The 26192-nt window shown below is 42.1% G+C and overlaps 1 protein-coding gene and 1 pseudogene across 2 annotated transcripts in view, besides 4 other annotated features; both read left to right on the top strand.

Annotated features, from left to right (window-relative positions):
- Positions 248–627: a silencer, noted in NCBI's record as "silent region_20731". NCBI's record gives its function as "represses an Ori minimal core promoter by ATAC-STARR-seq in GM12878 lymphoblastoid cells {active_cell/tissue: GM12878}" and the evidence as "EXISTENCE:reporter gene assay evidence [ECO:0000049][PMID:35858748]".
- Positions 248–808: a biological region, named in NCBI's record as "H3K27ac-H3K4me1 hESC enhancer GRCh37_chrX:37544835-37545346".
- Positions 297–808: an enhancer, noted in NCBI's record as "H3K27ac-H3K4me1 hESC enhancer chrX:37544835-37545346 (GRCh37/hg19 assembly coordinates)". NCBI's record gives its function as "activates a minimal SCP1, AML or CMV promoter by ChIP-STARR-seq in naive H9 embryonic stem cells {active_cell/tissue: H9 hESC(naive)}" and the evidence as "EXISTENCE:reporter gene assay evidence [ECO:0000049][PMID:30033119]".
- XK (X-linked Kx blood group antigen, Kell and VPS13A binding protein) overlaps positions 506–26192 on the top strand; it is a 46340-nt gene continuing 20653 nt past the window's right edge. The window contains exons 1-3 of one of the 2 annotated variants that reach the window (XM_011543978.4): positions 506–921; positions 9001–9263; positions 13398–19022. In XM_011543978.4, coding sequence (XP_011542280.1) covers positions 677–921; positions 9001–9263; positions 13398–13492 — 603 coding nt within the window. In that variant the 5' untranslated portion in view covers positions 506–676 and the 3' untranslated portion in view covers positions 13493–19022. Of the gene's footprint in view, positions 922–9000; positions 9264–13397; positions 19023–26192 lie in introns of those variants that run through there. The other variant, NM_021083.4, reaches the window with a different exon arrangement.
- Positions 809–1318: an enhancer, noted in NCBI's record as "H3K27ac-H3K4me1 hESC enhancer chrX:37545347-37545856 (GRCh37/hg19 assembly coordinates)". NCBI's record gives its function as "activates a minimal SCP1, AML or CMV promoter by ChIP-STARR-seq in naive H9 embryonic stem cells {active_cell/tissue: H9 hESC(naive)}" and the evidence as "EXISTENCE:reporter gene assay evidence [ECO:0000049][PMID:30033119]".
- Positions 14720–14992, top strand: H2AL1MP (H2A.L variant histone 1M, pseudogene; annotated as a pseudogene).

Genomic DNA, 26192 nt, shown 5'->3' on the forward strand with positions numbered 1-26192 from the left:
CAGTGAAAAGTGAAATCTTTTCCCACTTGGTGGTGGGTGCATGACAATATACTTGCACTTTGAAAAGCCTCTGTGTGGTCTGGTTATTTTTAAAAGGCCAGAAATGCTGGCCCTTTGAAGAATCACGCGTTTCCTCGGCCCAGAAAATAGACTGGGCTAGAAAGGCGCCCGGACTCCAATTCTGGGCCCGGGTGGTTGCAGTTTTTCAAAGGGATGTGAACGGTTTCCCAAGATAGGACCCAAGGGACTCTAGGACCCAGAGGCTGCGCGCGACGCCCGCAGGGCGAACTGCATCCTTTTGAGCTCCCGCTCCATGGCCTGAGCCGTCGTAGGGCGCGGGTTCGCGGCCCGCCAGGGGACGGTCACCACAGAGACGCAGCCGGCACTGGCGAGCGAGCGAGCAGGCGGCGCACGGAGCGCGTGGGCGTGTCCCGGCGGGGCTGCGCAGCTCGCCCCACCCCACCCCACCCCAGCCAGGTCGGCCGCCCCCACCAGGTCCAGTTCCAGAGCCCAGGCCGGTCGGCCGGGCCCGCGTGCCCTCGGCGGGCTGCGCAGAGCGCGGGAGCGGTTTGGGGCTGGGCATGCTGGGAGCCCCTCGGGCAACGGCCGCCGCCGCCACAGCCACACAGCCGCCGCCACTGCGTCCGTCCCCGGTGAGCGCCGCTGACGCGCGGAGATGAAATTCCCGGCCTCGGTGCTGGCGTCCGTGTTCCTGTTCGTGGCCGAGACAACGGCGGCGCTCAGCCTGAGCAGCACCTACCGCTCGGGCGGGGACCGCATGTGGCAGGCGCTGACGTTGCTTTTCTCGCTACTGCCTTGCGCGCTCGTGCAGCTCACGCTTCTCTTCGTACACCGCGACCTCAGCCGCGACCGCCCGCTCGTACTGCTGCTGCACCTGCTGCAACTTGGGCCCCTTTTCAGGTGCGTGCAGAAGCCCAGAGCCAGCCCCAGGCCGCAGCCTCGGTCCTGTAGCCTGATCTCCCCACCTGCTCGAGTGGAGGGAGGCGGTTTTCCTGTGGAGACAGGTGGCTGAGCCCCAAGCCGGTCCGCCATGCCCCTCAGCCCCATTATTCCAGTCAGGAACGCGACGAATCATGGCATAATGGTTATAAAGTTGGGGCACACTGAATTCCTGTTAGGTTCCGTCAAATGAAATAGCCAACATTCAACTGAAATTGACCAACAAAAATGGCAGTTTCTTGTGGTTCAACCTCATTAAAGACATTGGTTTCTCTGGGGTCAAGTAGGCTCTGACAGGATTGGCTTGTGTTGTCACAAACCCTTGGGAAGTGTGTTCTAAGCTGTGGTTACGGGGACAGCATGTACAGGTGATTTAATTTTAATTTATCAAACACATGGAGCTTACTGTGTGCCAAGCACTGTTCTAAAAGCTTTAACAGTATTTAATTCTCATAGGGAAGTCAAGAAATCCATGCACCATTCTTTTCTCTTGGTGGCGTTACGAATATTATGGGATATGGAAACATATGGGGTTCTAGAAATGTCTTCCGGCCCTGGCAAACTTATAAACGTAGCCATTAAAGCTGGTGCACAATGCACCATGAAAACAAAACTTGCTGTGTGTTAAGTAAAGAAAAACTGTTGGTGACATTTCTGGAAATTAATTTTTATTAACACAAAGCAAGTAGAAATACATGGTAATAAAACAGACTGGCTTATCTAAGGAGTTTAAAATGTGTTGTTTTAGTACCTTTCATCACTATAGGAAAAGCAAAACAAAGGCCGTCCATTTGGATTAGAAATAAGTTTATAATACTGAATTTTAGACATAGGCGACAGAGGAATTTGAAGAGATGGAAAGGCCAGAGAGACACCTCAGCTGCCAGAAAATTCAGCTAGCCCTACCAGGAAATCTCTCTCTCTCTCTCTCTCTTTCTCTCTCTCTCTTACACACACACACACACACACACACACACACACGCACACACACACATTGAGGAGCAAGATAAATTTTACAAAGTTATAATTTTTTTTTTTTTGAGACAAGGTCTTGCTTTATCAGCCAGGCTGGAGTGCAGTAGCAAGATCATAGCTCATTGCATCCTCCACCTCCTGGGCACAAGTGATACTCCTGCCTCAGTCTCCAGAGTAGCTAGGACTGCAGGCAAGCGCCATCATGCCTGGCTAATTTTCTTTTTTCTTTCTTTTTTTTTGTATTTTTTGTAGAGACAGAGTCTCCCTATGTTGCCCAGGCTGGTCTCGAGCTCTTGAGTTCCAGTGATCCTCCTGTCTGGGCCTCCTAAAGTTCTCTCTATGTTGCCCAGTATGGTCTGGAACTCCTGAGCTGAAATGATCCTCCTGCCCAGGCCTCCCAAAGTGCTGGAATTACAGGCATGAGCTACCACGCCTGGCCATAAAATTTTTGCACCTCATATTAAAGAAAACTGTTCCAGCTGACACACAAACTACTGACTTGTAGTTTGCACACAGTCACAGCAAACTTGGTGAACAAATTTCTCAGCCTCCAGAAGCTGCAGAATCCTAGAAAGGAAAATAAACAGGTACACTGGCAGGAGTGGGAGGTTGCTGCTGACTTCTTGATAGCTGGGGAAGAGTCTGGGGAAAAAGAAAGGGAGGGAGGGGAATTTTAAAAGTCCTGCAACCTGGAGCCATTTAGTGAGGAGAGAGTTAGTCCTTCCTAGCCAGGTAAGCCCTGTGGTCTGGACTGTATTCTTGCTCAGTAAAATAAGTGTGATCTGACTTTGGGCAGGGCACTTATCATTTCTTTCTTTCTTTCTTTCTTTCTTTCTTTCTTTTTTTTTTTTTTTTTTTGAGACGGAGTCTTGCTCTGTCGCCCAGGCTGGAGTGCAGTGGCGCGATCTCAGCTCACTGCAAGCTCCGCTTCCCAGGTTCACGCCATTCTTCTGCCTCAGCCTCCTGAGTAGCTGGGACTACAGGCGCCCGCCACCACGCCCGGCTAATTTTATTTTTTTGTATTTTTAGTAGAGACGGGGTTTCACCGTGCCAGCCAGGATGGTCTCAATCTCTTGACCTCGTGATCCGCCTGCCTCGGCCTCCCAAAGTGCTGGGACCACAAGCGTGAGCCACCGTGCCCGGCCTTATCATTTCTTAACATTATCTGTGAGAAGAAAACAGATAATGTTTAAGTGGAGTAACAGGAAAAAGGGGAACTGACATTTCTCAAAAGCTTCTTGTGCTAGATGGTTTGATATGTACTTACATGCCTCAATTCATTGAATCCTCACCATGACATAGACGTAATTGTCCCCATTTTGTAGGTGAAGAAAATGAGGCCTCAGACTATGTTCTCAAGCCTCCTTAAAAAGAGCTAATTATATTCCCTATGCTCAGTGGAAGAAAGCAGAGGACTGTGTAGTACATTCTATTAGTAGTTCCATTTTAAATTAAGAAAAAGTTTGGTCATCTTGGCAATCCAATAAATGATAATACCCTATCATTGCTGCCATTTAAAGTGTTTCTAAACACGAAGAGTAACCCAAGACAAAGCTAATGACATAATATATATAAAAACAGGATGACAAGTATAAACCTGAACTCAAGGAAACATACCAAGATGTTAAGAATAATAATTTCTGAATAGTGGGGTTATGAGTGATAATATCCTGGAAAATATATAAAACTATATAATAAAACAATTATCTACTTTTCTATATTTTTCAGTTTTTACCATAAAAATATTTTAACTTTATTAAGGAAAGAAAACTTTTGGTGCTTTGAAGAGATAACTTCTCAGCTATATATAAAGTTTCAACACTATAAAAAGACCTATTTCCAGAAAGTTCTGAATGGGCCATTGTCTTCTTGGAGCAAAAACAAAATAAAAGATAAAAAACAAAACAACAGGCAAACCCCTTCCATCAACAAGGAGTCACTGATTCTAATGCAGCTGATTTATTTCAAGGAGTTATTGGACCCATGACCTTAGAGCTGAGATACAAAATGTGGTTCCAAGTCTCTTAGCTTCCAGATTAAAAGAAAAGCAGTTTGTTCTTGTGTATTAGCCTGACTTAATATCTTACTGGAATTTCTTCCTGCTGACTGTTTGATTCTGTTTTAACTCTAAGACATCAGCTTTACATAAAGATAAAAATTATTTCCCTCAAACAAAGGAGAGGCATGGTGATTCTTACCCCCTTCCTTATGGATTGGATTTAATAATATTTCTAAATTGTTTTTTGACAGTTTAACTCTTCTTGCCTTTGGATGAGTACTAGCCAAACTCGTGTTTTTGCTAGGTAGATGCTGCGTTTGAGTTCATGCAGCACGATGGCCCAGTTAAACTGCAATACATTACACTAATGATTCTGGACTAAATACTACTAACTAGGCTTTGCTCCTTCTTTCCTTTAGGGAGGCATAGGGAGAGCACCATATTTCATTTGTATCAGTCTTGTATTTAAAATGGTAGTTACAGTTTTTATGATTGTTTTCACATTAAGCCTGAGTTTGAATGATACGAACTTTGGATAATGCCTTGAATTTATTTATAATTTTAAGGAAAATCTTATTGCGCATTATAATAGATACTCTAGCAAACCAGAGCAGGGAAAAGATCTCTTACCTAAAACACAAAAACATTTTAAAAATTCTGTTTATCATTCTTTTACATTTATGCTAATTTTTATAAATTAATTGGGAGGAATAAATATAAATGAGTTACAATTTCAAGGAATTCCCCTCATTTCTTTTTTATTACTGGTATAGTGAGGAAAAAATGGTACATGAAAAATCTGAGCTTATAAAATAAAGGCTAAGAAGTTCCCGAAACCTTTCCAGAACATTGCAAAATGATTCACCATAGTATATCTTTCTATATTAAACTTTATAAAGAATTTAAAATATTAATAGTCTACATTTGAAGAGAATTTTTTTTTCATTTGCAAGGTGCTTTTACATACAGTATTTAATTTCATCCATGGTAAAACCCTGTGAGTTAACTGTCATTATCTTATTTTTACAGTCCAGGAATTGAGGTTCAGTGAGATTAAGCAAGTGGCTTTTCAAAGGTTTTGCAGCATTTTCTATTTAACCAATTTGGGTTTTGTGTAGGCTTACAGAGCATGTGTGTCATGTGAAGATAATGTGGCTTATTGGAAATTATAGTATTTCTTTGGAAAAAGTATTTTAATTAGGGTCTCTGGTACCACAGATTATTTATGCTCACATCAGCATGCATGATTTCAGCTAAGGAATAAGCTCCTTCTGCTATGATACTTGAAAAGTGGGATATATGATGCTTGAAAATGGGATAAAGTAAAAAATAAGGATCAACCTACTGATTATCTACATTGGGGTTAGCAAACTGTACCCCACAGGCCTAATACCCCCATCACCTGTTTTAGTAGGTAAAGTCTTATTGGAACACAGCGTTGCTCACTGGTTTATGTACTGGCTACAACTGCTTTCACATTGCAGAGACAGACTTGAGCAGTTGCAACAGAGACCATGGCGTGTGAATCATAAAATATTTACTTTTTTATAAATACTTCACAGAAAATTTGCTGTCCCTTGGTGTAGATGATACTGAAAAACTACCTTGAGTATTCAGTTTTGATAAAAGTATCTAATTTCTGGCTTTATTTAGACCTCTCAAGCAACAAACAAATAAAAAACCAAAAAATAAGAACAGATTTTGAGTAATTAGATGAGTCTTGCAGAATTCCAAGAATAGTAGTTTGTTTCTTATCAGTTTTCCTAACCAACAGTGGCAGGAGGTCTTGGGGCCTTTTACAAATGTATTAAACACCTATGACTACATGTAAAACTCTATGCTAATACAAATGTATCACCTGGGAAAAAACAGTGGCTTACAAGAGGTTCCGCCTGAGCTTTAGGACCTTCTTTCATTTCCATCAACTGATCATGGAAGTTTTACTTTGTCTACAATTCTGCAGAAAGCTTCCAGTTTCATATAGCCCCTTCCTTCGCATCAAGAAAATTACTTTCTCCTCTGAACCCTCATTTCGTTCATTCAGTTCTTAGCATATGCTGGTATTTAATTTGTATGTTTTAGTCTTTCAAAACTCTAAGCTTGATTTTATTATGCAAGTAAAACATTTTTTGAAATGACAGAAGAGCAGAAAACAGATTTGCACAATGAGGAAAATAAAAGCTCTCATTTGACTGCTCAGACAGAACAATTCCTAATGTTTTTGTTGTATATCTTTACTAATATTTTTATAATGGTATGCTAGTAAACTGTTGGGGAAAACAAGCCCTGATTTTCAGTGTTTGCTGATTTCTCAAATGCGTATATTCTCATCATGATTGATCAAGCTACCAGTTGTTTAACAACTGGCTCACAAAATTCCTATTTTAACAGTCTGCTCTCTTGAGTCAGTATGAGCCAGCTCAAACATTTCACTGTTTATATGTATGTGTGGGTATGTGTGTGTAATCTGTATATATTTTTTATATATGTGATTTTCTTTTTACAAAAAATGGAATTTAAAATATATGATTCTATTGTAATTTGCTTCTTTCACATACCAAATATGGTAAAAATACGTAGCCTGGTCAACATAGTGAGACTGTTTCCTCACAAAAAATAAAATTAGCTGGGCACAGTGGCATGCATCTGGAGTCCCAGCTACTTAGGAGGCTCAGGAGTGAGGGTCCCTTGAGGCCAGCAGTTGGAGGCTGCAGTGAGCTATGATCACACCACTGCCCTCCAACGTTGGTGAGAGAGTGAGACTGTCTTTTAAAAAAAATTTATATATTGGTATATGTACTTCTATACCATTGATGTTAAGGAATGTATAATGTTTCATTGAATTGATATATTAGGGTTTATTTAATTATTCTTTCATTTTTGGGACCTTTAGAGTATTCCCAGCATTTTGCTATTATACATAATGCTATGATTTAAATTGTTGCAATACGTTTTCTTCTAAGTGAGATCATACGTGATAACATGTCATAACTAAAAGTGCTATATAAATATTAATTTTCGTTTATTATTATTATTATTGTGCATATGTCCCACTATCCCATTTAGATTGTGAGTGCCCCCAAATGAGGCAGGGGTATCCAGCTGTCTGCATTCCCCACAGCACTTAGTAAACCACACCCGCATTCATCTCATATTTGAGAATAAAGATGATTATCAGTTTATTCTGTTTTTGTTTTGTTTTAGTTTGTTTTTTTGAGACAGAGTCTCGCTCTGTCACCCAGGCTGGAGTGCAGTGGCGCAATCTTCGCCTCTTGTGTTCAAGCAATTCTCCTGCCTCAGCCTCCCGAGTAGGTGAGACTACAAGGGTGCACCACCATGCCTGGCTAATTTTTTAATTTTTAGTAGAGATGTGGTTTCACCATGTTGGCCAGACTGATCTCAAACTCCTGACCTCAGGTGATCCGCCTGCCTCAGCCTCCCAAAGTGCTGGGATTACAGGCGTGAGCCACTGCCCCCGGCCAGTTCATTCTGTTTTCTAATCTTTGATGTGATCAGTGGTCCAACAGTGTAAAGTTGCTAGGCCTCATACAGTCCTCAGTCATTAATTTGAGTTTTCCTTCAGAGAAAATTCAATTGGACGTGCTTGGGATTGAACTCATGGCCTGAACTTCATTGACATTATTTCCAACTGAAAAAACTGGTCTGTGTGGTTTTACATTGTTTTCATGTAATATATTAAAGTGTTCTTGACCCCATGGGACAAAATGTCGTACACAAATCAACCCCCCCCCACACACACACCCACACACACCATACACCTTCTTTCTCCTAGCAACAAATGAACAATGGTATTAATCACAAAATATGTCCACTTTGAGCTCACCAGAAAGGTTCCTGCATTTCCTCTCTTACATCAAGCTTTATTTTATTATTTCAAATTATAAATACATTCCAGTTGCCGTAGTCACCTCAGGATGAGAGTATAAAGTTAACATTATAACATAAACATTCAATGAAATAGATTAAGCCATTAAAATCTTCTGGCAGCATCATAAGGTTGTTATAAAAGTGCATGTTAGAGGAGGGACAAAAAGTCCTTTAACAAGTTACAAACCTACGGCCATGAATATTTTTCTTACTCCTAGGGAAAACACATTTTTAACCAGCATTTTATTATGAAAATTTTCAAACACACAGAAGACAAGTTTAAGGAATTCTATAGTGAACACCCAAGTACTCACCACCTAGATTCTACAATTAACATTTTGTTTCACATATTTATCCATCTATCAATTCGTGTGTGTGTGTGTGTGTGTGTGTGTATGTACTTCAAAGTTAATCACAGACATCAGTATTCTTCCCACTTCAGCATCCATATTTTTACCTAGAGAGGAAATCCAAATTTTAAAAGCCAGGTATTCTCTCAGTCTGGAAAAGTCACTGATTAAGTCTGGGACTGACTTTAGTCCCGCCCTGTAAGGACTTATGAAAACAGAGATAGGTAACATGTTGTGGTCTCCCAGTGAAATGCTAGATGGCAAGCTGCCCTGTGCTGGAGGATTTCCGAGCCATAGCTTCTGCTTTAACTGGGGTGGTTTGGGGCATCTTTTGGATGTGGAACACACACACGTGTGTGCGTGCATGCATGCATGCAGTCACACTATATAATCACCATTTTTCACAGCAATATGACAAAGTGGGTATTATATCTGCTTTATAGTGGAGGGAATGTGCTGGGGTGGGGATAGTAGGTGACTCGGCTATGGCTACACAGCTAGTATGTGTCAGGAAGGGAAACTGCACATTTTTTCTGTGGCTCTGGAGCCGGAACCACTTTCCATTCTCTAAGAGATTTCCTTGCTTCAGTGGCCTTTGGTATTACCTCTTCATTTGGTTCTCATTCAATTCCCATTGGCCTGCTGGAAAGCATCAAGAGGACTGCATACTGAGAACTGGTCCTTGGAGTAGTTGATTTAGAAGAGTGACTATAGTTCAGAGTAGCCAAGTCAAGGCTTTAAGAATCAGGCTAAAGGTAAGTAGGATGAGCATGGAAAGTCAGAATCCTGTCTGTCTCTAATTATTATGATTTCCTGATTTGTTTTCAGGTGTTTTGAAGTCTTCTGCATCTACTTTCAGTCAGGCAACAATGAAGAGCCTTATGTCAGTATCACCAAGAAGAGGCAAATGCCAAAAAATGGCCTCTCAGAGGAGATTGAGAAGGAGGTGGGCCAGGCAGAAGGCAAACTAATCACCCACCGATCAGCGTTCAGCCGGGCGTCGGTGATCCAGGCTTTCTTGGGCTCAGCCCCCCAGCTGACCCTACAGCTGTACATAAGTGTCATGCAGCAGGACGTCACTGTTGGAAGAAGTACGTGTATTTTTTATTTCTGCCTGCATTTGGGGATCAAAATGAGAAGCAAAATATGCAGTTTATTTTGTTTCAAAGGAAATTTGTTCTTAAGTGCACTTAATTCTGAATCTGTGTTCTAGTTACTATGCTCAAAACTCAATTAAAATAACAACGTTTATTTTGCTTATGACTCTGCATTCTAGGCAGGGCTCAAAAGGGTTACCTAATCTGTGATCCACTGTGGATCAGCTAGGGTGGCTCAAAGGTAGGGGGCTAGAATCTATTCAAGGCCCCTTCACTCACATGTCTTGTTGTTCACATGTTTTGATATTGGCTGTTGCTGGGAGTTTCAGATCTTCTCCATTTGATTTCTCTGTGTGGGTGAGTTTGGGCTTCCTTATAGCATGGTAGCTGCTTCCAAGGGTGAGTGTTCTAAGAAGGAGGGAAGGCCAGATGGAAGCCACATCAGCTTTTGTGATCCAGGCTTGGGAGTTGTGGGACATCACTTCTGCTTCCTTCTCATTGTTGAAATACTTACAGAGTTCTGCCCAGATTCAAGGGAGAGGAGAGGGAAGCAAACTCTGACTCTTGTTGTGGAATGGTAGAGTTCTAGAAGATCACCTGGGACCAAAAATACCACTGTGGCCATTTTTAGAAAATACAGTTTACCAGAGGCTGAAAACACAGCTACTGGAGGCTGCTTCTCTTGGGATTTCACTCTGTCTTTCAGTGCTAGTTCTAAACTAGTTGAGACAGTTGGCTTAACAACTTTGTGGTGAATAATGGAACAAGGCCACTTTCCTGTCTTCTTAGACTTGTAATAGGTATATCAGTTTATAAGTCAAGACAATATTCTACCTTTGGGCTATTCTCACATCATCAAATTAAGAGCAGATTTTGGTTAAGTTAAAAAAAAAAAACACTATTTGCATCAGAGTCAAGATTTTAATGAAAAGCCTACAAATGAGAAGTGGAAACAACCCCCTCCCAAGTATTAATATTATGGGTAAACGAAAACCATTATGGTAAGTTTTATTATCGGTATACAAAATGATTTAAAAGCCGTAAGTTGAAAAAATACATGTTTAAGAAAACATTGAAGATAAGAAAGACTCTTATTTATTTTACTTCACTCAGTTTTATCCTCTTTCTGCCTATGTTTTAGACTGGCTAGTAATAATTCATGTCAGAGTCACAGGATACTTACATGTTAGAGCCATCTCCCTTATCCAGGTTGCCTGATTATGATTCTTAAAATATGAGTCAGGATCTTAAGTAGAGATCTTGAACCTTAATGGATCAACATTTATATGTAAATACTTTCCGCAACACCTGGTAGGGAGTAAAAGCTCAATAAATATAGCAACATCCGTGTTCTCTAAGGAATTATAACTGGAATGGGTCTTGACCAAGCTGCATGCCACTATACTCTTTTTCCTAGTTTATTGTTTTTCCAAGTGGCAGGGATACAGCAAGAAATCAGATGTGATGATAGCCTATTTGATTTTTAGAGGTAGATCCAATTTTTTTCCTCAAGTTTTTTTAGTGAAGATTGTCTCACAGTTGAAGGGTTGGCAAACTACATCCCATGGGCCTAATCTGGGCACTGCCCGTTTTTGTCAATAAAGTTCTATTGGAATGCAGCCCTGCTCTTTCATTTATGTATTGTCTGTGACTGTTTTGGGACTAAAACAACAGAGTCGAGTAGTTGCAATAAACATAATGTGGCCCACAAAGCCTAAAATATTTACTAACTTTTTACAAAGAAAGTTTGCCAACCCTTGTTATAATTTTTCAGACATAATTCTGTTCAGGAAAAATAAAATCTGTCTTGTAAAATGTCAGTGTCACAAGGGATATCTGAAATGTCCCAAAAGAACTTGGAAAAACAGAAGTCCTCTGAGAGTTAAATGATAAATCAAATAGATATGGAAAAAGGAAGTGGGCATGGTCTTGTTAAAAAGATAGATGGCTGCCATTTATGCAGGTCTTGACTAACCCCAATCACTGCCTTAACATATATAAGGAGGGAATATCTCACCCGGAAAGGGTAAGACCCTTATGAATGGAGCATGGTCTAGGGTGTGCCACAAAGGCAAATGTTGGTAGTGTCTGTCATGTGGTTAGAAATGCATTTGGTGCAAGGAAGAAACACCTAACTGTAAAGTTAACCTAGAGTTTATTTTTCTTATCTAACTGGAAATTGGAAGTAGACAGTTGCTGACAGTATTTCAGCTGCTCAATAGTGGCAAAGTTGATGTCCCTGCCAATCCATTGGCCTTTTGCTTGGGTTGCTACTGCATTTCCAACCATCATAGCTACATTCAAAATAGGAAGAAGGGCTGAAGAAGGAAGGGTAGATATATTTCTCTTTTTATTAATGAATATAGCTTTTTCATAAATTTCCCTAATAGACTTTACTTTGTCTTCCTCCTTTTATTAAAAACTATAGCTTTTCCAGAAATCTCCCTAACAGAAATGACTTTAGGTCTCTGACCAGAACTGATCAGTCATTTAGCTTAAAGGGATGCTAGGAAAGCCAGGTCTAGGAATGTTTGCCACCAATGGCTTAGACTAATATTCCTCAAACTTCCCTGATGATGATGATTAGAGTTACCTGGGGGCTTGTTAAATATATAGATTACCAGGATTCATCTCTGGAAATTGTGATTTGCTGTGTCTGGGATGGGAGCCAAGGTTATGTGTTTTCTTTTTATTTCCCTTTTGTTATTTAAACAAGGGCTCCAGGTGATTTTATTATCAGCAAAGTTTGAGAACATTGGATTAGACTAGTCATGGCCTGCGTGTGGTTGGGCCCATTGCCACCCATAACAAAACCATGTTCTCTTAAGATAGTGAGAGGAATGGAAAATGAATAGGCAACTGACAGTGTCTGCCACATCATCTAAATGCAGTCCAGATGAATAGAAATGTGTCCCTCTTGACAGAAGGACATAGAGTCCATCACAACATGACCCTATTCAGCATTCAAATTCTGTAACTCTCTCCTCTCTCTCTGATTCTGTGCTCATTGAGCAAACATTGATGGATTTGGCATTAGCAGAGTTTGCCATGAGGGAGAGAAGGGAGAGCCAGCTACATGGTCACTGGAGAGTTATTGTTTTTCTTCATTGCAATATAATTCATATAACATAAATTTCACTACTTTGGGTGTACAATTCAGTAGGTTTCAATATATTGACAATGTTATACAATCACCACCACTGTCTAGTTTTAGAACATTTTCATCACACCAAAAATAAGTCCCCTATTCATTAACAGTCACTCTTCATTTCCCCTGCCCCTAGCCCCTGGCAGCCTACTAATCTACTTCCTGTCTCTATGGATTTGACTATTATGAATCTTTCATATCAGTGGAATCATATGCTATTGGGAAGTTTTCTTTCTCATAGTCAGTGAATAACGGACACTGTGTCTGTGAGCTTCAGTCTTGGGTGAATTTGGGCATCCTGAGATTCCCTGAGTCTAATCAGTTCTCAGCAAGGGCTTGCTCAAGTCTCCAGATCTTGGAGGATGGGTTGGGTTGAAGCCTAAGTGAGCATACCAATGTTACTGTGCTTTGTGAAGGCCCCTGCAGCCTGCCATTTGGCTTGCCTGGCCCTCACAGTGCCCTTCTCTATTCTACTCAAGGTGGTAATGTTGGTAGTAAAAATGGCTGTTTCATGAACCCTTGATTTGTGCCAGGCACTGTGATAGGCATCCTTGTGTTTCATTTTCAGTGTCCCTGAGGTAGATAATATTATCTCCATCTTAGTAAAGAGGGAAATTGAGCCAGACACAGTGGCTCACACCTGTGATCCTAGCACTTTAGGAAGCCAAGGTGGGCAAATCGCTTGACCCCAGGAGTTTGAGACCACCCTGAGCAACATGGCGAGACCCCATCTCTACAAAAAATACAAAAATTAGCAGGGAGTGGTGGTGCATGCCTGTGGTCCCAGCTACTTGGGAGGATAAGGCGGGAGGATTGCTTGAGCCTGGGAGGACCTTGCCTCAAAAAAAAAAAAAAAAAAAAAAAAAAGAGGAGGAAAATTGTACTTATAGTCAGATAGAGGAGCCAGAATTTGAGGTTAGATTTGTGTGACTTTATTTATGGACTCAATGAGTATTTCTTGGGTATGTTCTGTGTTTCAGACCCTGTGCTGGTCTCTGAGGATAAAGTGGTGAATAAGGTAGGCAGGCCCCAATCATCTTCAAATAGGATATATAAACATCACACAAATTATTAATCAAATGCATATTTTATTTAAGGTAAATCCTGCAAAGTGAAAGATAAGTAGCCTCTCTGAGGGTATATTGGGGGTTGTCTAACCGAGTCTGGGAAATGAGGCAAATGTTTCCAAAACTTAGATTTAAACTGAAAACTGCTAGATGAAGAAAAGAAGCCAGGTGAAGAAAAATCAGGAAAGAGCATCCCAGGATTTCAAGCTTTATTCCAGAGGCAATGGGAAGGCACTGATGAGTTTTAAGCAACAAGTGTCATGATCAAATTTAGTTTTAGAAACTGATTACTCTGCAAAATGTATTTGAAGAGAGTGAAGAAACAAATGGAGAGGCTAGGAAGTGGGCTACTATAGTTGTCAAGGTGAGAATAATGGCCTGGACTGGAATAGTCAGAGTGGATTATTGGAGCAATATTAAGAATGCGTAAGTGGAACAATGTGATGATTGATTGGATATGAAGGTGAGGCAGTGAGAGATGTCAAGAATAATTCCCAGTTCCTGATATGGACTGCTGTAGCCATGGATCTCCATTTGTCTTGGTAGTGACAGGTTTGCGAGGTATATTTTACTTTCAGTTCCAGACTTAAAGAAATGAATACATTTTAAAGATTCTATTTAACTCATGAGAGAACAAGCAGATGTTCTCTTCGGACCAGCTTATAAGATAACCCAAAGGACAGACATAGGAATATTGACTAGAGATATCAAAATGAATATGTAAATGGAAGTAAAACTGGTTTTATTACAGCATGGGGGGGTGACATTTGAACCTCTACTGTACAAGACATTGAGCATGTCTGTTAGTGACTTATAGCTTACAGAAGAATGTAAATGAGCTCACTGGCAATACAAAGCTAGAATCAGAGAACCTGGATTGGTATACTGAAGACAGGACAATGTTTTGATTGAAACACATTTTTTTTGTTGTTGCTAGAATGTTTAAGTCAAGTACAAAGTTAGACTTTCCTCAAAAAGACGGTCCAGTTATTAGGGTGAGCAGGTTCCTGTCAGAAACATTTTGAGGCCGGGCTTGATCAGGGCTCAGTGAACACCAATAATATCACAAAGTTGAGGTTGTCTTGAAGGCAGCTCCCTGACCAAGGAGGGCCTGGAGCACAGTGGGCGGGAATAAGCACTGGTACCTGGAGAGGCTCAGGCTAGTGGGAAAATCGACGAGGGCTGATCAAAACAAAACTCACCAAGACCATGTGAAGGCAAAAAGGAGCCTTAGAAAGGAGATTCTTCCCTGCTCCACAAAAGCCTAGCTGCAGTTTCCTGTTAGCCACATGGACGGCTTTCTGCGAGGTCAGTATGCCCAGTGCCTGAGCTCATCCACACCTGTTTTCCTGGTTGTTATTCTCTAGTATCTGATGGCCAACATCCTGGAGCAGGCAGGCAAGAAGGCCCAGAACAATTGCAGGGTGCGCATCACACCAGAACACATAGAGAGGGCCATGCACAAGGATAAGCAGCTCAGATGCCTCTTGGAGGATGTACCCACCATCAGGTTGATGAGGTGCCCCAGCCCGAGAAGGAGGGATGCTTGGGTCTGAGAACCTGGCAGGACTTCATCAACAATTTCATCCAGCCTCAAAAATTCCCATAGATGAGAGACCCCAGGCTGCTGCCATCAGCCCATGCTATTAAAGTCTTTAATGACAGTGCCCCTGACTTCTCTCAGGTTCTCTCATTTTGGGTTGGAGGTGTCCTTGAGACATCCAGGAGAAGCTATCCCATAGAGAGCTGAATGGGTGGAAGGTGTTGCCAGTGTGGGGTGTTTGAATCAGTGATTTTAGAAGGGGCAGTTTCCAGTGGTTGGTGAGAGCACTGGCCCTGGCGGGAGGAGCTGACTGGGGATAAAGATATAGAGACTTCCTCATTGGCTTTGAACTGGAAGGCCTTGTGAGGCCAGGTAGTTGCTGGGAGCCTCCTAGGCTTGATAAATTCCTAACCTGATGCTGGGACCTAGGGTGGAGCTGCAGACTCTGACTGAGGTGCGGGAGGCTTTATTCAGAATAGCAAAGGTCTGAAGTCAGAGGGCAGTAGCCACAGGGATGGGTGGAGAGGGGGCACACTGCATACTAGCTGGCATGAACTTCATGGGACAGGCTTTACATGGAGATTGAGGAGTGATGGGGAAAACATAAGGAAAAAATGCAAAAAAAAAAGTTATGGTCATGTTATTTTATTTATTTATTTGTACCCTGCCTCATTCCAAAAGAGGACTTGAGACAGGGATTAGTAACTGGTACTATGACACATTGTTTGGAATATATTCTTCTGTCCTCTTGTGGACACTGTTAAATTAAGTAGTAACATTATATAAAAGCTCTCTGGCCTAGGACATGCAATCCAATCAGTTCTTAATGGTTACAAAATATTACAAAACTTATTTGTAAATGTATTCCATTATAAACACAATTATCAATCGCATTCCCAGAAAAAATAATCTGTGTATGATCATGTATTTCATAGAACAGCATAGAGTTATCAATGGCCAAAAACAGGTTCAAAAGGTATAGAAATAACCTATGTAATTCTGTCTTGAGTGATGGCCTCTAAAGCATGTACTGTACTTTTAAAAACTTGTGCTCTGTACTGTTTAAAAAAGGTGTCACATCAAGTGTTGTAGCAATCTGTCCCCTTGCCTGTGAATGTCCATATTTTAGGTTTTCACCTGTTCCTTGGATCCTCTGTGGCCACATTCTGCTGCCTGTTGGCCAGATGCTGCCCAGCCAGATTCAATAACAGATCAGACAACCTGGGTTTGAGATCCTAGTTCACCACTTTCTGGCCATGTGATCTTGGACTTTCATTTACTCCTGCTGGGCAGGTTTGCTCATGTGTAAAATAGCAGAGAGTCCCTCTATCTTTAGTTTTCCCAAAGATTGAGTCCACTTTGGATATGCACAGTGTGGCCCTTAATAAGCAGCTGCATCTGTCTCCTCCCCTAACCCCAGACACGCAGGCAGGCTTCCCCAGGGTACATCTGGGTCTGGTTCTCAGGTTACTGTTGGGCACTTGGGCCACTGGCTGTGAGAGTGACATCCTGCTGAGCCCTATGGAGAGACAGGAGAGTGCCCAGCAGAGGAAGGAGACAGCGGAAGAGGGACACGAGCCAGGCAGTCCCCACTCTGGTGTCCCTTTTTCTCCTCCTGCCTTGTGACTCGCCCTCTCTCTGCCTCTGTCTAAGCAGAAGGACCCAGCTTGGCCTTTGGCTAATTCACAGGAGTGTCCTGAGAATGAAGGAAATAGCGGTTATGTGTTTAAAAACTGGGCTGTGAGAAACCCATGTCCTGGACACAAAGATGTTTCACTTCGGCCAGGGGAGGGGGTGCTGCTGTTGCCATGAAGTGATGAGCTGAAGGAGACTCCCCACCTGAAGCTGCTGGAGAGAGGCCTGCTTGCAGCTCAAATGCACAGAAGAGGAAGCGAGCAGCTGGGCTAAGGCTGGGAGTGCTCCACGGCGCTCCCTAAGGAATCATGCAGTGGTGGGGTGGGCAGCTTGACAATGAGGTGCCTGGAAATATGAGGTTCAGTGGACATGATATGGCAAGAAAGACTTCTGGGATTTAGACAAGCACATCTTCCACATGGCCCTAAGGACAACCCTGACAGTACTAATCTCTAATATATTATTTCCTAAAGCGCAGTCTACAAAGTGGCATCTTACAACTCAATCTGGATGGCAGATAGGTTTGCTAGTTCTAAGCAGACATCTTAAAAGAAAATTAATGAGCTGGTAGCATTTGAAAATCAATAACATTTTACCTGAAAGTCTGGATTTCTGGCTCTCTTGAGAAGTAAAAAGGAGGGTACACATGATTACAGTCACATAGAGATGACTAGCTACTGCACCATGAAGACTGGGCCTCTGGTTTGCCACATTCCTTCCACACTCTTCCCTATAAAGTCCCATATCTGATTCACTTCATTAATTTATAGTAGTTGTCTGATTAATAGAGATACTTGAGTTTGTTACTCTCACTACAAGTTAATTCTAAGTTCACAGTACTCAGAACAATCAATCTCATTTAATGAAGTAGTATATTGTGCATTGCTTCTCAAAATATCATTGGGGTAGGACCAGTAGTAGCAAACTTCCTTGTTTTTCTTGTTCCAGTAAATTGTGAACTGATATGTGGTTGTATTACTAGTATGCCACTCATATTTGACTTGTCATTTGAGTTTAACAACTGCACTGGTATATACCTTGTTCAAAAAGTGAGCCCACTAATTTAAATGTTGTGGCTAAATCAGATGCTATACAGATTCCTAAATGCCAGCTCTCAATGTCCATACTTATCATAACTGACTGGTAACAGATATTTCATTGTACCAGTCCTCAAACTTTTTAGATTTAGATTTAGATTTTAAATCTAATGAAAAGCAGTAAACAGGACCTACAGTTGGTATTGTTTCTCCTTCAGAGTCTTCATGAAAACAGATTTATCCTTCTTATATTTAGGACTTTAGCATAATACTGGTGAAAATGTTGCTGAACTACTTCTGTTAAAGCAAAAGATATTAAGGAAACCAATTAGCATCAGTGGGGCATGTTAGATGCGGCAGATGTGAGATTGTTGAGTTCTGAAATGTAGGATAAAAAGAATTCACCAAGGCAACTGTGAAAGGGAGTCTTCATGAAAGGAGAGGCAGAACTGGGTTCTGGTCTCCTACAGTGTAGTTTACTTGGGGACCCATCAGTTTCCAGTGAGAAAAATGGAAAAATTATTTCAAAACTCAGCTAGAGATGTGTACTTATGACTGTGCTCTTTTCCTAACAAAATAGTTCTATGGAAAATGGGTAAATAGGGTTCAGAGTACAGGGTCTCCATTTTACAGCTGAGGCCACTGAGGCCCAGTGATAGTAATCAGCTCTTATAAAGTCACATGGTGAGTGGGCAGCACAGTAGAATGATGGCCTGGCCTTCCTTACCTGTTATTGGGGCTCTTTCCTCTATTGTATCCTGAAAAAGGGGTCTCAAAAGAGAAAGTGTTTAATGTTCTCCTCTGAGAAAAAGAAGCTAAAGTCTTCAATACCAAGGTGTTAGGGTCTCTTGGATTTCTTGGGAAGCACTCAATAACTCACTCCCAAGAATATTCACTTGTGCTTTATTTGGGTAAGGCCAGACAGGTCAGGAGAAAAGTGCTGATTTTATAGTATAGGTCTTTGGACTTTGCAAACTTAGATTTTGTTCCACTGGACATTGTATTAAACTGTGTTATGAACACAAATTTGTCTCAGTTAAGGTGTTCTGGAAATTCTGACTCTGTCCACTAACCATTATCTTAAATGTGGTGATGTGATGTCATGAGAAGCCTGTGTTCAGGAGCCTAGTCTTTGAAGTACCTGAGGTAGTGACGTTTTTCATGGTGCTCTAAGACAATCCTTCTTTGCTGAAGACAAAATCTCCCTCCTGTAGCTGATTGTAGGGTCATTAGGGAAACATCAGTGTAAATAAAAAACTATCTGGAGAGCCAGGCATGCTGGCTCATGCCTGTAATCCCAGCAACTTAGAAGGTTGAGGCAAGAGGAACTTTTGAGGCCAGGAGTTCAAGACCACCCTGGGCAACATAGTGAGACCTCCGTCTCTACAAAAATATTTTAAAAATTAGCTGGATGTGGTGGTATATAACTGTAGTCTCAGCTACATGGGAAGCTGAGCTGGGAGAATCTCTTGAGCCAAGGAGTTCTGAGCTGCAGTGAGCTACGATTGCACCACTGCACTCTAGCCTGGGCCACAAAATGAGACCACAATTCTTAAAAAAAAAAGTATCAGCCGGGCGTGGTGGCTCACGCCTGTAATCCCAGCACTTTGGGAGGCCAAGGCAGGTGGATAGCCTGAGGTCAGGAGTTCAAGACCAGCTTGACCAACATGATGAAACCCTGTCTCTACTAAAAATACAAAATTAGCTGGGCTTGGTGGTGCATGCCTGTAATCTCAGCTACTCGGGAGGCTGAGGCAGGAGAATCGCTTGAACCCTGGAGGTGGAGGTGGCAGTGGGCCGAGGTCACGCCATTGCACTCCAGCCTGGGCAACAAGAATGAAACTCCGTCTCAAAAGAAAAAAAGTATCTGGAGATGATAGACACTTAAAGTGCCTGTGGTTCACTTATGACTTGTGATAAAGTGAAAAGTCTAGTGGAAGTACATAACAAACATAATACAACTGAAGAAGAAATTGTGACATACAAAATAAGATAATAAAGCCAATGTAAAAAAGTTTTGAACAAAACATATGTAAGCATAATGATTAATCCTATTTTGAAGTAAGTCTACAGTAGATTCTAGACATCTGTATTTTACTATACCTCCATAAAAAGATTTGATGTGTATCCTCAATTTAAAAAGCCATGAGGGAAGATGCTTCATAAAACTTAAAAGAGAAGCCAGGCGTGGTAGCTCACGCCTGTAATCCCAGCACTTTGGGGGGCCAAGGCGGGCGGATCACGAGGTCAGGAGATCAAGACCATCCTGGCTAACATGGTGAAACCCCGTCTCTACTAAAAATACAAAAAAAAAAAAATTAGCCGGGCGTGGTGGCGGGCGCCTGTAGTCCCAGCTACTTGGGAGGCTGAGGCAGGAGAATGGCGTGAACCCGGGAGGTGGAGCTTGCAGTGAGCCGAGCTCGCGCCACTGGACTCCAGCCTGGGTGAAAGAGCGAGACTCTGTCTCAAAAAAAAAAAAAATAACTTAAAAGAGAAAGTTGTGACTAGATAGTTTTAGAAATCTACTGAAATGATGACTGTTAACACTATAATTTTATTGCCTAATATTATGAAGGAAAGCACCAGCAGGACTATGATCATTAGAAACATACTATGGACAGTGGGGGCACTGACAAATCTCTAGGAACTTCTCATACAATCTAGAACTTCTGAAATATTTATACTAATAATATATTTCATATTCAGATTTAATCTAGGGAAGGCTGAGTACCTCTTTTCTTTTTTTCTTTTTCTTTTTCTTTCTTTCTTTCTTTCTTTTTTTTTTTGAGACAGGGTCTCACTCTGTCACCCAGGATGGAGTGCAGTGGTGCAATCATGGCTCACCGTAGCCTCAAACTCCTGGGCTCAAGCCATCCTCCCCACTGAGCCTCCCAAGTAGGTGGGAATACAGGTGCACACTACCATGCCTGGCTGATTTTTTTTTTTTTTTGAGACAGGATCTAACTTATGTTGCCCAGGCTGAAGAACACCTCTTTTGATTTTATTTTTTTCCATGCAACTCATCAATACTAACAGCAACAAAGCTAATTTTATCTAATATCTGTCTTTTTATAAGGTGAAAGAACAAATCTTTCCTATTTTCTAGGTACTCTGTTGGAAATCTCAAAGATAAGTCTAAGTGTAAAAGATTTATAGAGTTTCATTTTATTTCATTTAAAATTTTGAATTTTATTTTGAAAGGCAAAATTGCTAGAAGATTTGAGAATTAAGTTAGGATCATGAGTGACTGAGTACATGAATGGTTGTAGCTTGGCTATCTATTAATTAAAGTGACAGTACAATGTTTAGATAAACATCCAAAAGACCTTGACACATTCTTAATGCAAATTTTTTTTGTTTTTGAAGAGAATAATCAAGGGCATGATAAAGTCAGGGAAAAAAAGTGTTATTGTGGTAAGATGCCAAATCCCTACTTTTAGGATAGGATTACATAGGTAATATTTTAGGCTAAATTATGACCCCAAAGATATTCAGGTTCTACTCCCTGAAACCTGTGTATGTCACTTTATATCTGCAAAGGGAACTTTGCAGATAAAGAGATTGAGGTTGGGAGATTATTGTATTGTAGGTCGTGCAGGTGGGCCCAGGACAAATGTTCTTTTTTTTTAAAATTAATTAATTAATTAATTTTATTTTATTTTATTTTTATTGATCATTCTTGGGTGTTTCTCGCAGAGGGGGATTTGGCAGGGTCATAGGACAATAGTGGAGGGAAGGTCAGCAGATAAACAAGTGAACAAAGGTCTCTGGTTTTCCTAGGCAGAGGACCCTGCGGCCTTCTGCAGTGTTTGTGTCCCTGGGTACTTGAGATTAGGGAGTGGTGATGACTCTTAACGAGCATGCTGCCTTCAAGCATCTGTTTAACAAAGCACATCTTGCACCCCCCTTAATCCATTTAACCCTGAGTGGACACAGCACATGTTTCAGAGAGCACAGGGTTGGGGGTAAGGTCATAGACCAACAGCATCCCAAGGCAGAAGAATTTTTCTTAGTACAGAACAAAATGAAGTCTCCCATGTCTACTTCTTTCTACACAGACACAGCAACCATCCGATTTCTCTATCTTTTCCCCACCTTTCCCCCTTTTCTATTCCACAAAACCGCCATTGTCATCATGGCCCGTTCTCAATGAGCTGTTGGGTACACCTCCCAGACGGGGTGGTGGCCGGGCAGAGGGGCTCCTCACTTCCCAGAAGGGGCGGCCGGGCAGAGGTGACCCCCACCTCCCGGACGGGGCGGCTGGCCGGGCGGGGGCTGACCCCCCACCTCCCTCCCAGACGGGGCGGCTGGCCTGGCGGGGGCTGACCCCCACCTCCCTCCCGGACGGGGTGGCTGCCGGGCGGAGATGCTCCTCACTTCCCAGACGGGGTGGCTGCGGGTGGAGGGGCTCCTCACTTCTCAGACAGGGTGGCTGCCGGGCGCAGGGGCTCCTCACTTCTCAGACGGGGCGGCTGCCGGGCGCAGGGGCTCCTCACTTCTCAGACGGGGCGGCTGCCGGGCGGAAGGGCTCCTCACTTCTCAGACGGGGCGGCTGCCGGGCGGAGGGGCTCCTCACTTCTCAGACGGGGCGGCCGGGCAGAGATGCTCCTCACCTCTCAGACGGGGCAGCGGGGCAGAGCCGCTCCCCACATCTCAGACAATGGGCGGCCGGGCAGAGACGCTCCTCACTTCCTAGATGGGATGGCGGCCGGGAAGAGGCGCTCCTCACTTCTCAGAGTGGGCAGCCAGGCAGAGGGGCTCCTCACATCCCAGATGATGGGCGGCCAGGCAGAGACGCTCCTCACTTCCCAGATGGGGTGGCAGCCGGGCAGAGGCTGCAATCTCGGCACTTTGGGAGGCCAAGGCAGGCGGCTGGGAGGTGGAGGTTGTAGCAAGCCAAGATCACGCCACCGCACTCCAGCCTGGGCACCATTGAGCACTGAGTGAACGAGACTCCGTCTGCAATCCCGGCCCCTCGGGAGGCCAAGGCTGGCGGATCACTCGCAGTTAGGAGCTGGAGACCAGCCCGGCCAACACAGCGAAACCCCATCTCCACCAAAAAAATACGAAAACCAGTCAGGCGTGGCGGCGGGCGCCTGCAATCTCAGGCACTCGGCAGGCTGAGGCAGTAGAATCAGGCAGGGAGGTTGCAGTGAGCCGAGATGGCAGCAGTACAGTCCAGCTTCGGCTCGGCATCAGAGGGAGACTGTGGAAAGAGAGGGAGAGGGAGACCGTGGGGAGAGGGAGAGGGAGAGGGCAAATGTTCTTATAAGGGAGAGGCAGCAGCAGGCTTGATCACGGAGGAAGAAGACAATGTGAGGAGTGAAACAAGATGCTGCACTGCTGGCTTTGAAGATGGAGGGAAGAGGCAGGAGCCAAGGAATGCAGTTGTAGAAGCTGGAAAAGGCAAGAAAATGGATTCTCTCCTTGATCCTCTGGAGGGAACATGCCCCTGTTGACACCTTGACTTCAGCCCAGCCAAACTGATTTCAGACTTCTGATCTCCAGAACTGTAAGACAACAAACATTTGTTGTTTTAAGCCACTGTGTTTGTGGTAATATGTTATGGCAGTCATAGGAAACAAATTTACGCCAAAAGTAATCTTTTACAACCTCTTATTAAGAACAGACCAGTACTCCAAGAAAACTCATTTTCACAGAAAAACTAATTCTAGATTTGTTTCAATGAAATATTTGCTTCTAAATAACCCACTATTTACTTTTGACAGTCTCACAAATAAACCCATCAATACTGAGCCAGATTTGGCAAAATGTTAACACAAAATTGTGTTCCTTTCCAGACTCTTTCTGCAAACCTCCTACAACTTTCTTTATTCATTCAGGTTTTATCCTTCACCATTCTTCCTCATTCCTATCCTGGAACAAGTCATTTTTCTTTAGAACAGAAATATACTTTTTTGCCCATAATAAAAATTTCATTATCTTGAGATTCCTAGTAATCTCATTCACATGTATTAATTATAACTTTTAAGCAGCCCCTTGTATTTCACAAAGAAAATGAAGGAGTAGATAATTGTGAATTTCTGTCATTTTAGCAGCCTAGCCAATCTCATGAATATACTTCACTGAGCTTTATCCAGCCACATACTTCCCTTATTTAATTCCACAGTGTGGCAGAAATGAACATGTTCATTTACAGACCCAAAGATAGAGCCTCTTTGTAGCATGTACAAATAACAAGCAATAGTGTATAAATGAAAACTGTACTTACTAATAAATTTTTCAGTATTCTATCTTACTTAGAAATGATCTAGAAAGCCAGTGAATGGCCAAGATCTTCAGTTATCTAAAGATTTTGGAAATGCTCTTCAGGGTAACATACTACACAACCTCATTACTATGGAACTATAAATTTATCAGAACAATGATTCAAGTTGCTTAAAAATAGATTTAAGTTTTTAAATTATTTTAAATATTTAACAGGAGTAAGTCTAGCTCATTTGATCAAAAAGCTGTATAAGTTTAGGAGAAACATACTCAAGAGTATAAAAATATATGCTTGTATTAAATATGACACTGATAAATCAGAGATGTTTACATTAAACTCAAAGTCTTAAACTAGTCTTATTTGCCAAAGAGTTACATAAATTATAGAAGTCTGAATTCTTAAAATGGTTTTGAGTTGGTTTCTAGGATAATACATTTTTTAAACTAGCACATTTAAAAATCAATAGTACAATTTCCGTATTTTAGGAAATTCTAGTTATATTCAATTTATATAAGCAGTTATTTTTCTGGATATGCCAATCAGAATAGAACTCTTTTAATTTGGGAGAGTTTATAATCTAATATATTAGTACTGTGCATAGGTAGGAAAACATTACACACTCGTACAATCAGAGGTGAGGATATTACAGACATATAGACATACAGATAGAGAGAAATAGAGTTTGTAGCTTCAATTCTTCAATTTCAGGCATGGATCAAGAGTGAACACAAAATCAGAAAATCTCCTCAGTCCAGATTTTAATAGCTCTTTTCCTCTCAAAGGGCATGAAATTCTTAAGTGATTTGAGCTTAGAAAAATAAACTAACAAAAAGGATGACAAACCAGACTTTCTGTTGCCTGTCACCCAATAGGGACTAGATTTCTGTAAACCATGGATGCACTTAGATCTCCAGATTGTTAGACCTTAAAATTGGATTTCAAACCATTTCTCTCAATAAGGGGGAGTAACTTAATGGCTTTAAGTGAACCAGAACAAAACAGAAACACAAAATTTGTAGAGAGAGGATTTCAAATGAGAAGTCGAGGGTGTCAACAAAGCTCTACTGGTGCTCTGGATTCACCTATGAGAGCGAAGAAAGGACATGCTTAGGCTTTAACTGCTCATGAGGTGCACTTCCTTGTCAGCAATGTTTACCTGACTCTTACAGGTGAATCTATTGGACATCTCATTATGACTTCCAAAGTTGTTAAAATATATTTTTCAAAAGGGTAAAATTATGTTGCTCATACAGATGTGAACCTGTTGTTGTTTACTTGTAAGGAAATGAACAGATGTTATGGCCGGGCGTGGTGGCTCACACCTGTAATCTCAGCACTCTGGGAGGCTGAGGTGGGTGGATTACCTGAGGTCAGGAGTTCGAGACCAGCCTGGCTAACATGGTGAAACCTCCGTCTCTACTAAAAATACAAAATAAATAAATAAATTAAATAAAAGAGAACCAACAAAGGATTGTTTAGAGATATCAAAATAAGTATGTAATTGGAAACAAAACTTCTTGTATGACATTTTGAGAGGGAAGACAGTTGAACCTGTATTGAACAATGCATTTTGCAGTATGTATCGGTGACTTGTCAGATAGCCTATATCCTGGAGTTGAAAAATAATAAGACCAGCAACAACAACAGGAGTTACATCGCCCCACAGAATGTGGAAATGCCGGTGCACAGGCCTGAGTGCCACCGATTCTTTAGGGGTGGGACAGTCAGTCTAATTGACATGTCCCAATTCAAGAAGAATTGCTGATGCCTGGGTTCCAGAGCCTGGCAGGGGTCCTCACAGCCTCATCCTTCGGCAAAACCACTCAGTTGAGGAAGCCCCATACTGTTGCCATCAGCAAATTCTCTCAAAAAGTTTAAATCCATGGATGTGTTTCTGACTCCTCTCAGTTTCTGTCATTTTTAGTTGGAGGTGTCTGTGGGGCATCTAAAAGAAGACATACCATAAAAGATTTTTAAGATTTAGTATGGAGGCAGGAATGGCTGTGTAGCCTGGAGAGCTACATAGGCTGATAGCAGGCTTTGGATGCTCTGAGCCGTATGTCCATGCAGCTGTGGTGAAAGATTCTGTGCACGTTGCCAATATCCTATCTCGAGCATGTGTCGCAGCACACACTGCAGTGTTTCTCTTCCTTTGTGCCTCAGGTCTTTCTCCTCTGGCAGGGAATGCAGCTCAGGTACTGATGAGAAGTGTGGGTAAGGTAATGCCCATGGGGCCACCCCCAAACTAAGGGAGATGGTAGTTG

Source organism: Homo sapiens, chromosome X (genome assembly GCF_000001405.40).
Source record: "Homo sapiens chromosome X, GRCh38.p14 Primary Assembly".
NCBI lineage: Eukaryota > Metazoa > Chordata > Mammalia > Primates > Hominidae > Homo > Homo sapiens.